This window comes from Homo sapiens, chromosome 6, assembly GCF_000001405.40.
Source record: "Homo sapiens chromosome 6, GRCh38.p14 Primary Assembly".
NCBI lineage: Eukaryota > Metazoa > Chordata > Mammalia > Primates > Hominidae > Homo > Homo sapiens.
The window spans coordinates 136,840,228-136,855,453 of NC_000006.12; the positions used below are offsets into that span (position 1 = coordinate 136,840,228).

General features: G+C 39.0%; 1 protein-coding gene across 4 annotated transcripts in view; it reads left to right on the plus strand.

The window, feature by feature from the left end:
- The window catches only part of PEX7 (peroxisomal biogenesis factor 7), a 91,343-nt gene that overhangs the window by 17,636 nt on the left and 58,481 nt on the right, over positions 1–15,226 (plus strand). For 3 of the 4 annotated variants that reach the window (NM_000288.4, XM_047418874.1, NM_001410945.1), the window contains exons 4-5: positions 5,388–5,465; positions 5,846–5,954. The exons of the other annotated variant lie outside the window; for it this stretch is intronic. In NM_000288.4, the coding sequence (NP_000279.1) occupies positions 5,388–5,465; positions 5,846–5,954 (187 nt within the window). The remainder of the gene's footprint in view (positions 1–5,387; positions 5,466–5,845; positions 5,955–15,226) is intronic. 4 annotated transcript variants of the gene reach the window in all.

The window sequence follows — 15,226 nt, forward strand, 5'->3', positions numbered from 1 at the left end:
CATCTAGCTTAAGAAATGAAACATTACCTATACCATTAGCGTCCCCTGCTTACCCTTTCTAGTCTTATCGTTCTTCTCTCTGCTTTTTTTTCTTCCTCGCTTCTTCCCAGGAGTAACCACTAGCCTGAATTTTCTATTTATATATTTTTTGCTTTTCTTTCTATTTTTACTACATATGTATGCATCCCTAAGTCATGCATAGTTTTGCATGATTTTGACCTTTGGGTAGTAAGAATCAGCATGGATGAATCTCACATAATGTTGAGCGAAGATGCTAAGTTGGAGCTACATATAGTGTGAAACCACTGAAAGGCTTTGCACAGGGGAGTGACATTTAATTTGTATTTTCTAAAGATTACTTTTTATGCAGTGTGGATAATGGATTGGAGGTAAACAAAAATGGATGGGGAGAGCAGTTAGAAGGATGTTATAATCTAAGTGGTAACTTATGGTTGATGGTTGTAACCTCTTAAGAGAAATCATAGACAAATTCTTAGCCATAGCCCTTTAGGATCTTATCCCTCCCAGCTATTCAACCTTGCTCTTCCCTGAATCTGGCAAGCTTGTTCCCTGTTAAGGTCTTTCCCTGTTCTCTGTAACCTGAGCCTTTCATCTCGGGTCTGCAGAGTTCAGTCTTTAACTGCACTCAAGTCTCTGCACAGAGAGGTCTTTCCTGGCCATTTTGTTGAGAAGTGACCCCCTGCCCTTGTCATTATTTTCTGTTCTCCTTACTCTGCTTTTTCTTTGTAGTTTTTAAAAAAATTGCAACTTGAAATTATACATTTATTTATAGCATGTTTGCTGCTGCTAAAATATAAGATCCATGGGGGCTGGTCTTATCTAAAATTGTAACCTCCTTTCCCCCCGTGCCTAGTACATAGTAGGTGCTCAATAAATATTTGTTGAATAGATGAGTGAATTGATTGAAGTTGGGATAATGGAATTCATTCTTCCCTTTTCAGCTGTTTCTCAAACATCTCTCTGGCTGTGAACTTTTTTCAGAGCTTGAGGTTAATGCCCAAACCCTGTCTTGCTGTCACCTCAAACTCAGTATATATAAAATTACATTATTTTCCTTCCTCCAGTCTTTCACTTTTGTTAATGCTGCCATCACTGACAGTCCTCAGGCACAAAACCTTGGTGTTATCTTGCAGTGTTCACTACCCCCGATCCCTAGGGTGCTGTATATTCCCATTTATGTGTTTGAGGAAGTTTTCTGGTTACTGTTTCACCTCTGCTTTTTGCCTATTGACATTTTAGCCAGCCCTCAGGGCCCTGCCTCAGTCTTTCTCTTCTGAGCACGAAGCTGAATTTCCATCCAAGCACCCCTTTTGTACTTATGTTTATAGTTTGTTTTGTTTTGTTTTTGAGACAAGGTCTTTCTCTGCTACCCAGGCTGGAATGCAGTGGCGTGATCACTGCTCACTGCTGTCTTGACCTTGACCTTGTGGGCTCAAGCCATCCTCCCACCCCAGCCTCCTGGGTAGCTGGGACTACTGTTATAGGTCACCACACCTGGCTAATTTTTAAAATTTTTTATAGAGACGGGGGTCTCGCCATATTTTCCAGGCTGGTCTCGAACTCGTGGCCTCAAGCGGTCCTCCTGCCTCGGCCTCCCAAAGTGCTGGGATTACAGGCATGAGCCACCGTGCCTGGTGTAATTACTCTTTTTTTAAATTAAAAAAAAAAACCCACACAGTCTCCTGATCTGTTAGTTCCTTTCCCATGTCCTAATATTTTAAACATAGTATTGAGTTGCCTTTCTTTTCTTTTTCTTTTTTTTTTTTTTGAGACAGGTTCTCACTCTGTCACCCAGCTTAAAGTGCAGTGGCACAATCTTGGCTCACTACAACCTCCACCTCCTGGGAGCGATTCTCCTGCCTCAGCCTCCTGAGTAGCTGAGACTGCAGGTGCCTGCCATCACACCTGGCTAAATTTTATATGTTTAGTAGAGACGGGGTTTCACCATGTTGGCCAGGCTGGTCTTGAACTCCTGGCCTCAAGTGACCTGCCCGCCTTGGCCTCCCAAAGTGCTGGGATTACAGGCGTGAGCCACCACACTCAGCCTATTTCCTTCTTTATGATCCCATTTTTAACTTCACCACCATGTGTGTCCTATCTTTAGCTCTGTCATAGAGACCTAATGCTTGCTACTTGGTTGTGCAACAGAAGACAGCTGACAGCAACAATGCCATCAGCATGGTTTTCTTACCTTCTATCTTTGATGTTGATTCAGGCTGGATTCTCTTGAGCCGGTGGAGGCTCCTGCAGTTTTAGAAGGTGAGTAGTCATAAGGTGTCACCTGCTGCATCACACTGGAAATGTGTGGAGGCAGTGGAGTCTGAGCTGATGATGAGTATTTACTTAGTAGTTCTCTGTACCTACCTAGCAGTGATTCAGGTTGTAAAGAAAAATTTAATTGGTTAAATTATTTTAACCAATGTTTGAGTGCCTATTTTACTGTGATGAACATAGATGTACAAGATGTTTTGCTCATTAGGAGTCTCCAAAATCTAGCAGGTATGTGAGTTATGTAACATTCTTTTTAGTAAATAAAATATGGTAAATGCTGAGTTAGAAGTAGGTGTGAGCTGCTGTTGAAGGCAGCATATGACTCATTGAAGGACTTATCAGGGGAGGCTTATTTCGTAAGGGATGTAATGGGGCACGTCTTGATGGATAAATGGAAATTCACAAGTGGAGAGGGGCTTTAAGATCTGTGTATAGGTAATTCATGAAAACACAGTGGAATCAATCTAGGCCCAAATGTAGCTCCAGTAAAGGGTGAAACCAGCAGGGGTAGAGCTTTAGTTCCTTGATATCATGGCTTAAGGTAGCCAAGAAGTTCTGATTCAACAGTGCCCTCAAGTAGCATGCTGTACAGATAGCCTCACATTGCGATTAAAAGTGGACTCTGCAATTAGGCTGCCCACGTTCAGATTTCATATCTGCACCTTACTAGCTTTGGGACTCTGGACAAGTTACTTAACCTCTCTGGGCCTTGATATAGTATCTACTTCATATAAATGAAGATTAAATGAAATAAAATACATAAAGTGCTTATGAACAGGATCTGACACTCAGAGTGTTCAATAAAGGTTTGCTATTTTTATTTTTGACTGTTTACATCAGCCTAGAGCAGGGGTTGGCAAACTACGTCATGTGGACCAGGACCAAATCTGGCCTGCAGTTAGATTTACAAATAAAGTTTTTTTGGAATCAAGCCATGCGCATTCATTCGGTATTGACTATGGCTGCTTGGTGTGTGCTATAAGAGCTGGGTTTAGTAGTTGTGACAGTGACCAAATAGCCTGTAAAATCTAAAGTATTTACCATATGGCCCTTTATAGAAGAAATGTACCTTTTTTGAAGAAACTTACCATTTACTATATGGTCCTTTGTAGGCGAAATTTAGAGGATAAAATCAAACTCTTTAGCTCTCAAGATCTTCAGTGATTGCTTCCAAACCAGCCTTTTTTCTATCCATAACTAACAGATGGCCACAGCAGCTCTTTGGTTTTCACTGGCCCTTCTATTCCTTTTATAGCTGCTGTCTGTTGCTGGATTGTGCTTCCTTTAGTGTTCCAACTACTCTTCTGTCTTTTGCGTGAATATGGGCAGAGGCAGGGCCAGGACTAGGGTAGAATGTGTGAGGCACTCACTCTAGGTACACAATTTAAGGGGGCCCCAAAAAACTTGATAATCAAGATAATTTGTTAATGTTTTTAAAAATAAAAATTAATGCAAAAAACCCATTATGAACAAAATATCGATATTTTACTTTTTTTGAAGCTTAATATTAATTTTATTAAACTTTTTTCCAGGTTTATTATGATTGGCAAATAAAAATTTGTAGGCTGGGCACGGTGGCTCATGCCTGTAAACCTAGCACTTTGGGAGGCTGAGGCGGTAGGACTGCTTGAGCCTAGGAGTTTGAGACCAGCCTGGGGAACATGGTGAGACACTGTCTCTACAGAAAATAAGAAAAAAATTAGCTGGGTGTGGTGGCACGCAAGCGTGACTCCAGCTACTTAGGAGGCTGAGGTGTGGGAGGACCGCTTGAGCCCAGGAGGTCATCGCTGCAGTGAGCTGAGATTGTGCCCACTGCACTCCAGCCTGGGCGACTGCGCAAGACCCTGTTTTGGAAAAAAAAAAAGAAAAATCTAAGTTGTACAGCTTAGGGTTTTGATCTAAATATATCTTGAGTAATGATTCCTACAGTCAAGCTAATTAACATATCCATCACTTGAATGGTTACCATTTTCTTGTGTGTGAGATAAGAACATTTCAGATCTACTCTCAGCAAATTTCAAGTATTCAGTAATACATTATTATTTATAATAGTTACCATGGTGTACATTGAATCTCTAGAAATTATTCATCTTATAACTAAAAGTTTGTATCCTTTGACCAACATATCCCCATTTCCCCCACCCCCAGCCCCTGGCAAACACTACTCTACTGTATGTTTCTCTAAGTTTGACTTTTTTAGATTCCACCTATAAGTGACGGGATCAGTATTACTGATGTTTTTTTTCCTCAGCCTCCAACATGGCTCAATATAGTACTGGGCAGCAGAGAGAAAGTAACCCACATGTAAGCGGCTTAAGCCCAGATACTCATACTTCCTACGTATATGTGGGAGAGAGTAGTAAGATTCAAAGTAACCTGCTGGCTGATCACCAATGTGATATACCAATGGCATATACTCAGGTCCTTGTCAGGACTAATTTCATAAAGTATAATTATGCACATATTTTGTTGAACTTAGTTTACAGCAGTGATCTGTGTATAATCTGTTGTATAAAATGAAAGAATGAAAACATTTCCAAAAGTTTTCAAGTAGTTCATTTGAAATGGTTCACTGAGAGCAGTGAAGCATATACTTTAGAATAGCAGCATTGGATAACTAAAACTGTTTACCAAGAGATCTGGAAGGATCACCTGGTTCCTGCAAGCTTTTTCTAAGAAAGGCCAGATAGGGATATTAATTGAATTTTAATGCTTTCCAATAAACATTGACCCAGCAAGCTTTTTTAGATGACTAACTTTCTAATCTGCTTTGACATTTCTTCGTGGGGCTGCAAACAGTGATTTGTTGGTAGGTTTTAAAATATGTATAATTTGTTTTAGTGAAGAAGGTTTGGAAGTATACTGTAGAATTCTGTGAAAGCAGAATGGAGTCTTATCTGTAAGGAATAAGTCTGGAGGAATGGACAAGATCAACTTTTCATTTCTCAGACACCTTGTTGAGATGGATAGGAATTATTTGATGTTTTGACATAGTAAATTAGTTGTTCTGCCTCTCATTGTTATGTAACAAGAGATAAAATGCAATGTTGAACTTGATGGTCTTTTGCTTTCTAAACACTTTTCAATGTTTTTAGGTGTATAGTGTTGATTGGAGCCAAACCAGAGGTGAACAGCTTGTGGTGTCTGGCTCATGGGATCAAACTGTCAAATTGGTATGTTAGCATTATTGTATTCAAAAACGAATATTCCCTTCTCTAGAGCTTCCACTAAATTTTCTTCTCTTTTTCCAACATACTTCTGTAGCTCTATGATTCGACAGCTGAGCTTTCTTTTAAAAAAAAAATTAAAACACTTATTAGAACTTAAAATTTTCTAATCTTTTGGCTGTGAACTAATAGTTAGCTCAGCATTAGTTTGGCCCTTAAATACAGTCTTGCTTTATATCAAAACAGATCTTTAAAAATCCTTGAGATCTGTATATATATTGTATGCATATATATAAATGTATATAGTTTATTGGTGTATGTAGTATATGTAAAAGCATAAATTTGAATTTATCCCTCAAGTAATTGATCTATTCATTTATTTGTAGTGGGATCCAACTGTTGGAAAGTCTCTGTGCACCTTTAGAGGCCATGAAAGTATTATTTATAGCACAATCTGGTCTCCCCACATCCCTGGTTGTTTTGCTTCAGCCTCAGGTAAATTATTCTGTATTTACCAAAAGCCTTACTTGTAGTGAATGGTGGCCTTGTTTTTACCATTAGGTGGCGCTGTGTACCTTAGCTTCAGAGAGAAAACAGGAGAATATTACTATTCTTTTGTGTTCTTAAGACTTTACTTCTTTTTTTATTTTTATTTTTTTATTTTTATTATTATACTTTAAGTTCTAGGGTACATGTGCACAACGTGCGGGTTTGTTACATGTGTGTGCATGTGTGCCATGTTGGTGTGCTGCACCCATTAACTCATCATTTACATTGGATATATCTCCTAATGCTATCTCTCCCCCCTTCCCCCACCCCATGACAGGCCCCGGTGTGTGATGTTCCCCATCCTGTGTCCAAGTGTTCTCATTGTTCACTTCCCACCTATGAGTGAGAACATGCGGTGTTTGGTTTTCTGTCCTTGGAATAGTTTGCTCAGAATGATGGTTTCCAGCTTTGTCCATGTCCCTACAAAGGACATGAACTCATCCTTTTTTATGGCTGCATAGTATTCCATGGTGTATATGTGCCACATTTTCTTGATCCAGTCTATCATTGTTGGACATTTGGGTTGGTTCCAAGTCTTTGTTATTGTGCATAGCGCCGCAGTAAACATACATATGCATGTCTTTATAGCAGCATGATTTATAATCTTTGGGTATATATCCAGTAAATGGAATGGCTGGGTCAAATGGTATTTCTAGTTCTAGATCCTTGAGGAATCGCCACACTGTCTTCCACAATGGTTGAACTAGTTTACAGTCCCACCAACAGTATAAAAGTGTTCCTATTTCTCCACATCCTCTCCAGCACCTGTTGTTTCCTGACTTTTTGATGATCGCCATTCTAACTGGCGTGAGATGGTATCTCATTGTGGTTTTGATTTGCATTTCTCTGAAGGCCAGTGATGATGAGCATTTTTTCATGTGTCTGTTGGCTGCATAAATGTCTTCTTTTGAGAAGTGTCTGTTCATATCCTTTGCCCACTTTTTGATGGGGTTGTTTGATTTTTTCTTGTAAATTTGTTTTTAAGTTTTTTGTAGATTCTGGATATTAGCCTTTTGTCAGATGAGTAGATTGCAGAAATTTTCTCCCATTTCGTAGGTTGCCTGTTCACTCTGATGGTAGTTTCTTTTGCTGTGCAGAAGCTCTTTAGTTTAATTAGATCCCATTTGTCAATTTTGGCTTTTGTTGCCATTGCTTTTGGTGTTTTAGACATGAAATCCTTGCCCATGCCTATGTCCTGAATGGTATTGCCTAGGTTTTCTTCTAGGGTTTTTATGGTTTTAGGTCTAACATGTAAGTCTTTAATCCATCTTGAATTAATTTTTGTATAAGGTGTAAGGAAGGGATCCAGTTTCAGCTTTCTACATATGGCTAGCCAGTTTTCCCAGCACCATTTATTAAATAGGGAATCCTTTCCCCATTGCTTGTTTTTCTCAGGTTTGTCAAAGATCAGATAGTTGTAGATATGCGGCATTATTTCTGAGGGCTCTGTTCTGTTCCATTGGTCTAGATCTCTGTTTTGGTACCAGTACCATGCTGTTTTGATTACTGTAGCCTTGTAGTATAGTTTGAAGTCAGGTAGCTTGATGCCTCCAGCTTTGTTCTTTTGGCCTAGGATTGTCTTGGCAATGTGGGCTCTTTTTTGGTTCCATAGGAACTTTAAAATAGTTTTTTCCAATTCTGTGAAGAAAGTCATTGGCAGCTTGATGGGGATGGCATTGAATCTATAAATTACCTTGGGCAGTATGGCCATTTTCACGATATTGATTCTTCCTATCAATAAGCATAGAATGTTTTTCCATTTGTTTGTGTCCTCTTTTATTTCGTTGAGGAGTGGTTTGTAGTTCTCCTTGAAGAGGTCCTTCACATCCCTTGTAAGTTGGATTCCTAGGTATTTTATTCCCTTTGTAGCAATTGTGAATGGGAGTTCACTCATGATTTGGCTCTCTTTTTGTCTGTTATTGGTGTATAGGAATGCTTGTGATTCTTGCACATTGATTTTGTATCCTGAGACTTTGCTGAAGCTGCTTATCAGCTTGAGATTTTGGGCTGAGACGGTGGGGTTTTCTAAATACACAATCATGTCATCTGCAAACAGGGACAATTTGACTTCCTCTTTTCCTAATTGAATACCCTTTATTTCTTTCTCCTGCCTAATTGCCCTGGCCAGAACTTCCAACACTATGTTGAATAGGAGTGGTGAGAGAGGGCATCCCTATCTTGTGCCAGTTTTCAAAGGGAATGCTTCCAGTTTTTACCCATTCAGTAAATATTATCATATTGGCTGTGGGTTTGTCATAAATAGCTCTTATTATTTTGAGATACATCCCATCAATACCTAGTTTATTGAGAGTTTTTAGCACGAAGGGCTGTTCAATTTGGTCAAAGGCCTTTTCTGCATCTGTTGAGATAATCATGTGGTTTTTGTCTTTGGTTCTGTTTATATGATGGATTACATTTATTGATTTGTGTATGTTGAACCAGCCTTGCATCCCAGGGATGAAGCCAACTTGATCTTGGTGGATAAGCTTTTTGATGTGCTGCTAGATTCAGTTTGCCAGTATTTTACTGAGGATTTTTGCATTGATGTTCATCAGGGATATTGGTCTAAAATTCTCTTTTTTTTGTTGTGTCTCTACCAGGCTTTGGTATCAGTATGCTGCTGGCCTCATAAAATGAGTTAAGGAGGATTCCGTCTTGTTCTATTGATTGGAATAGTTTCAGAAGGAATGGTACCAGCTCCTCTTTATACCTCTGGTAGAATTCGGCTGTGAATCTGTCTGGTTCTGGAGTTTTCTTGGTTGGTAGGCTATTAATTATTGCCTCAATTTCAGAGCCTGTTATTGGTGTATTCAGGGGTTCAGCTTCTTCCTGGTTTAGTCTTGGGAGGGTGTATGTGTCAAGGAATTTATCCATTTCTTCTAGATTTTCTAGTTTATTTGCATAGAGGTGTTTATAGTATTCTCTGATGGTAGTTTTTATTTCTGTGGGATTGGTGGTGATATCCCCTTTATCATTTTTTATAGTGTCTATTTGATTCTTCTCCCTTTTCTTCTTTATTAGTCTTGCTAGTGGTCTATCAATTTTGTTGATCTTTTCAAAAAACCAGCTCCTGGATTCATTGATTTTTTTGAAGGGTTTTTTGTGTCTCTATCTCCTTCAGTTCTGCTCTGATCTCAGTTATTTGTTGCCTTCTGCTAGCTTTTGAATGTGTTTGCTCTTGCTTCTCTAGTTCTTTTAATTGTGATGTTAGGGTGTCAATTTTAGATCTTTCCTTCTTTCTCTTGTGGGCATTTAGTGCTATGAATTTCCCTCTACACACTGCTTTAAATGTGTCCCAGAGATTCTGGTATGTTGTGTCTTTGTTCTCATTGGTTTCAAAGAACATCTTTATTTCTGCCTTCATTTCGTTATGTATCCAGTAGTCATTCAGGAGCGGGTTGTTCAGTGTCCATGTAGTTCTGTGGTTTTGAGTGAGTTTCTTAATCCTGAGTTCTAGTTTGATTGCACTGTGGTCCGGGAGAAAGTTTGTTATAATTTCTGTTCGTTTACATTTGCTGAGGAGTGCTTTGCTTCCAAGTATGTGGTCAGTTTTGGAATAAGTGTGATGTGGTGCTGAGAAGAATGTATATTCAGTTGATCTGGGGTGGAGAGTTCTGTAGATGTCTGTTAGGTCTGCTTGGTGCAGAGCTGAGTTTAATTCCTGGATATCCTTGTTAACTTTCTGTCTCGTTGATCTGTCTAATGTTGACAGTGGGGTGTTAAAGTCTCCCATTATTATTGTGTGGGAGTCTAAGTCTCTTTGTAGGTCTCTAAGGACTTGCTTTATGAATCTGGGTGCTCCTGTATTGGGTGCATATATATTTAGGATAGTTAGCTCTTCTTGTTGCATTGATCCCTTTACCATTATGTAATGGCCTTCTTTGTCTCTTCTGATCTTTGTTGTAAAAAAAAAGTCTGTTTTATCAGAGACTAGGATTGCAACCTCTGCTTTTTTTTTTGTTTTCCATTTGCTTGGTAGATCTTCCTTCATCCCTTTATTTTGAGCCTTTATGTGTCTCTGCACGTGAGATGGGTCTCCTGAATACAGCCCACTGATGGGTCTTGACTCTTTATCCAATTTGCCAGTCTGTGTCTTTTAATTGGAGCATTTAGCCCATTTACATTTAAGGTTAATATTGTTATGTGTGAATTTGATCCTGTCATTATGATGTTAGCTGGTTATTTTGCTCGTTAGTTGATGCAGTTTCTTCCTAGCCTCGATGGGCTTTACAATTTGGCATGTTTTTGCAGTGGCTGGTACCGATTATTCCTTTCCATGTTTAGGACTTTACTTCATCAACCTCTTGACAAGAGTTAGCTGTGGTTCAGATTACTTTTCAATGATTCCAACTCCTAAAGAATAATTCCTAGATTTCTGGCAAGGACAAATTCATGGATGGTAATGTTATAACTGAGATATGATACATGTTTGAAAGAGAAGGTCTTGAGTTTTGTTTTACAACACTGTTTCAGAACCTGTGAGACACGCATCTGCTTGTCAATGAGCAGGTTGAGCTTGGAGCTGAGAACTCTGGCCTCATGAATAAAAATTGTATCATTGGCTTAGAATTGGTAACTAAAGCCATTGCAGTAAATCAGAGCACCTAGGAAAGACTAAGTCAAAGAAACCTTGGAATAGAGCACAAGTTGGCAAACTACTGCCCTCAGATCAAAACTGATGGTTTTTTTTTTTTTTTTTTTTTGCATTGTCTAAAGATATTTATTTCTGCTGTCTTTTTTTTTTATTTTTTTTTTATTTTTAATTTTTTTTTTTTTTATTATACTCTAAGTTTTAGGGTACATGTGCACATTGTGCAGGTTAGTTACATATGTATACATGTGCCATGCTGGTGCGCTGCACCCACTAACGTGTCATCTAGCATTAGGTATATCTCCCAATGCTATCCCTCCCCCCTCCCCCGACCCCACCACAGTCCCCAGAGTGTGATATTCCCCTTCCTGTGTCCATGTGATCTCATTGTTCAATTCCCACCTATGAGTGAGAATATGCGGTGTTTGGTTTTTTGTTCTTGCGATAGTTTACTGAGAATGATGGTTTCCAATTTCATCCATGTCCCTACAAAGGACATGAACTCATCATTTTTTATGGCTGCATAGTATTCCATGGTGTATATGTGCCACATTTTCTTAATCCAGTCTATCATTGTTGGACATTTGGGTTGGTTCCAAGTCTTTGCTATTGTTAATAGTGCCGCAATAAACATACGTGTGCATGTGTCTTTATAGCAGCATGATTTATAGTCCTTTGGGTATATACCCAGTAATGGGATGGCTGGGTCAAATGGTATTTCTAGTTCTAGATCCCTGAGGAATTGCCACACTGACTTCCACAATGGTTGAACTAGTTTACAGTCCCACCAACAGTGTAAAAGTGTTCCTATTTCTCCACATCCTCTCCAGCACCTGTTGTTTCCTGACTTTTTAATGATTGCCATTCTAACTGGTGTGAGATGATATCTCATAGTGGTTTTGATTTGCATTTCTCTGATGGCCAGTGATGATGAGCATTTCTTCATGTGTTTTTTGGCTGCATAAATGTCTTCTTTTGAGAAGTGTCTGTTCATGTCCTTCGCCCACTTTTTGATGGGGTTGTTTGTTTTTTTCTTGTAAATTTGTTTGAGTTCATTGTAGATTCTGGATATTAGCCCTTTGTCAGATGAGTAGGTTGCGAAAATTTTCTCCCATGTTGTAGGTTGCCTGTTCACTCTGATGGTAGTTTCTTTTGCTGTGCAGAAGCTCTTGAGTTTAATTAGATCCCATTTGTCAATTTTGGCTTTTGTTGCCATTGCTTTTGGTGTTTTGGGCATGAAGTCCTTGCCCACGCCTGTGTCCTGAATGGTAATGCCTAGGTTTTCTTCTAGGGTTTTTATGGTTTTAGGTCTAACGTTTAAATCTTTAATCCATCTTGAATTGATTTTTGTATAAGGTGTAAGGAAGGGATCCAGTTTCAGCTTTCTGGAAGCACTGGAAGCATTCCCTTTGAAAACTGGCACAAGACAGGGATGCCCTCTCTCACCGCTCCTATTCAACATAGTGTTGGAAGTTCTGGCCAGGGCAATCAGGCAGGAGAAGGAAATAAAGCGTATTCAATTAGGAAAAGAGGAAGTCAAATTGTCCCTGTTTGCAGACGACATGATTGTTTATCTAGAAAACCCCATCGTCTCAGCCCAAAATCTCCTTAAGCTGATAAGCAACTTCAGCAAAGTCTCAGGATACAAAATCAATGTACAAAAATCACAAGCATTCTTATACACCAACAACAGACAAACAGAGAGCCAAATCATGAGTGAACTCCCATTCACAATTGCTTCAAAGAGAATAAAATACCTAGGAATCCAACTTACAAGGGATGTGAAGGACCTCTTCAAGGAGAACTACAAACCACTGCTCAAGGAAATAAAAGAGGACACAAACAAATGGAAGAACATTCCATGCTCATGGGTAGGAAGAATCAATATCGTGAAAATGGCCATACTGCCCAAGGTAATTTACAGATTCAATGCCATCCCCATCAAGCTACCAATGACTTTCTTCACAGAATTGGAAAAAACTACTTTAAAGTTCATATGGAACCAAAAAAGAGCCCGCATCGCCAAGTCAATCCTAAGCCAAAAGAACAAAGCTGGAGGCATCACACTACCTGACTTCAAACTATACTACAAGGCTACAGTAACCAAAACAGCATGGTACTGGTACCAAAACAGAGATATAGATCAATGGAACAGAACAGAGCCCTCAGAAATAATGCCACATATCTACAACTATCTGATCTTTGACAAACCTGAGAAAAACAAGCAATGGGGAAAGGATTCCCTATTTAATAAATGGTGCTGGGAAAACTGGCTAGCCATATGTAGAAAACTGATGGTTTTTATAAATAGTTTCATTGGGATGCAGCTACGCCCGTTTATTAACATATTGTTTATGGTTGCTTTCACACTACAGTGGTGGAGTTGAGTAGTTGTGAGAGAGACTGAAAGGTCCTCAAAGCCAAAAATATTTACCGCCTGTGGCCCTTGACAGAAAACGTTTGCTGACCTCTGGCATAAATCCTCAAGGAGAGAGTAAGAAGTGGAAACTCTTTTGTGCAGTTGGCTGTTTAGTAGAGAACAGAAGACATTAGCTAGAGGAGGAGGTGGTGCTCCTAATAGTGTCTCCTCTTTCAGTTATGCAGCATCCAAAGATAGACAATAGGTAGGATAATTGTTCCTTTCTTGCTAATAAACTATACCAATGCCCTGAGTTGTTGAATTATGTTGATTGGCTTTCTTAGGAAATATAATATCACACACTTTTTTCCCATTTTATTTCATTATTTTTAATTTTAAAAGTAAAAAATGACCAAACCATCCTAAATTGTGAAAGTACTATTAGGTTGAAAATACTCAGAAATGGAAACCTTCAGGTAAATTATATACAGACAAGTATATCCATTTAGATTATGCAACTTTCTTTTTACAGGGAGCATGACTGAGGTGAAAGATTATGTAATTTTTTGAGATCCTAATAATGAATACTAGTAATGCCTATGTATAGAGGCATAGTTAATTTAAGAAAAAATATTTTTGTTCTCTGATAAAAATTAATAGCTTTCTTTTCTAGAATGTTGAGCAGTACACACTGTCGACTTATAAGGTTATAAACTATTATTTTTTGAATTTTTAAGCTAAGTCATAGCTTTTTTTGTCCATAATCTGAATTAAATCTTTTCTAATATATGAAGTCTTTTGGGATGGGACCAGTAATATATTTTTTCTTCTTATGTTGCCTTTCCCAAGCCTGCATCCTTCTTTGGTCTTTTATCCTTCTGTAACATAGTTAACCTTTACGGTTAGTAAGGCTGAGTGTGCATTAAGTCAGTGGTAGCAATATTAATATATTTAATTTGAATCAATTAACCCTTTCATTTACATGTATAACTTGAGTTAATCATCTTTTATGTTTTTATTATTATTATTGAGTCAGAGTCTAGCTCTGTCGCCCAGGCTGGAGTGCAGTGGTACAATCTCGGCTCACTGCAACCTCCGCCTCCCGGGTTCAAGCAATTCTCCTGCCTCAGCCTTCTGAGTACAGGTGTGCGCCATCACACCCAGCTAATTTTTGTATTTTTAGTAGAGACAGGGTTTCACCATGTTGGCTAGGCTGGTCTCGAACTCCTGACCTCAGGTGATCAACCCGCCTTGGCCTCCCAAAGTGTTGGGATTACAGGTGTGAGCTACTGCGCCTGGCCTGTGTTTTTAATTTAGTATAAATGGTAATGAGTTTTGTGCTTATAGTGAATCGGATCTGTAAGTTGACCACAGTTCAGTTTACTGGTTTATACTGTTACCATTTTGTAATTTTACCGTTGGTGAAAGATTCTACCACAGAGAGTATTAGTCCAAGTCGAATTAAAGTTCTTGTAAGGATGTGAATTAGATTGACATTAGCATTATTTTCTTAGGGGAGGGATGCCTTTTGGCCTTATATCCTACAGTTTCAAAGGAGTCATTTCAAACTCTAGATTGAATTAGTGGTGTAGAATAGATCCACCTCAAAAATGAACTGAGGCCAGGCATGGTGGCTCACATCTGTAATCCCAGCACTTTGGGAGCTGAGGCAGATGGATCACTTGAGAACAGGAGTTTGAGACCAGCCTGGCCAACCAACATGGTGAAACCTGTCTCTACAAAAATACAAAAATTAGCCGGGCATGGTGGCACACACCTGTAATCCCAGCTACTTGGGAGGCTGAGGCAGGAGAATCACTTGAACACGGGAAGTGGAGATTGCAGTGAGCCGAGATAGCGCCACCGTACCCCAGCCTGGGCAACAGAGCAAGACTGTCTCAAAAAAAAAAAAAGGAACTGAAGCATGCTTCTGTTCTAGTGAAACAGTGAAGACTTACCTGCTGGGAGCTCTAATTGGCAACATACACAGTAAACTAAAATTAATAATGAGAATATAATTTTGTATATTTGGAAAAGTATTAGTAAGTACAATTCCTTGAACAATTGATAGGTCTTAAAAAATTCCTTACCTTTCTATTTTATGTAATCTTGTTGATGTTTGTTATTATTTAAAGTTCTTTTCTTTTTCTTTTTCTTCTTCCTTTTTTTTTTTTTTGAGACGGAGTCTCTGTCCCCCAGGCTGGAGTACAATGGTGCAATCTCAGCTCACTGCAACTTCCGCCTCCCACCTTCAAGCGATTCTCCTGC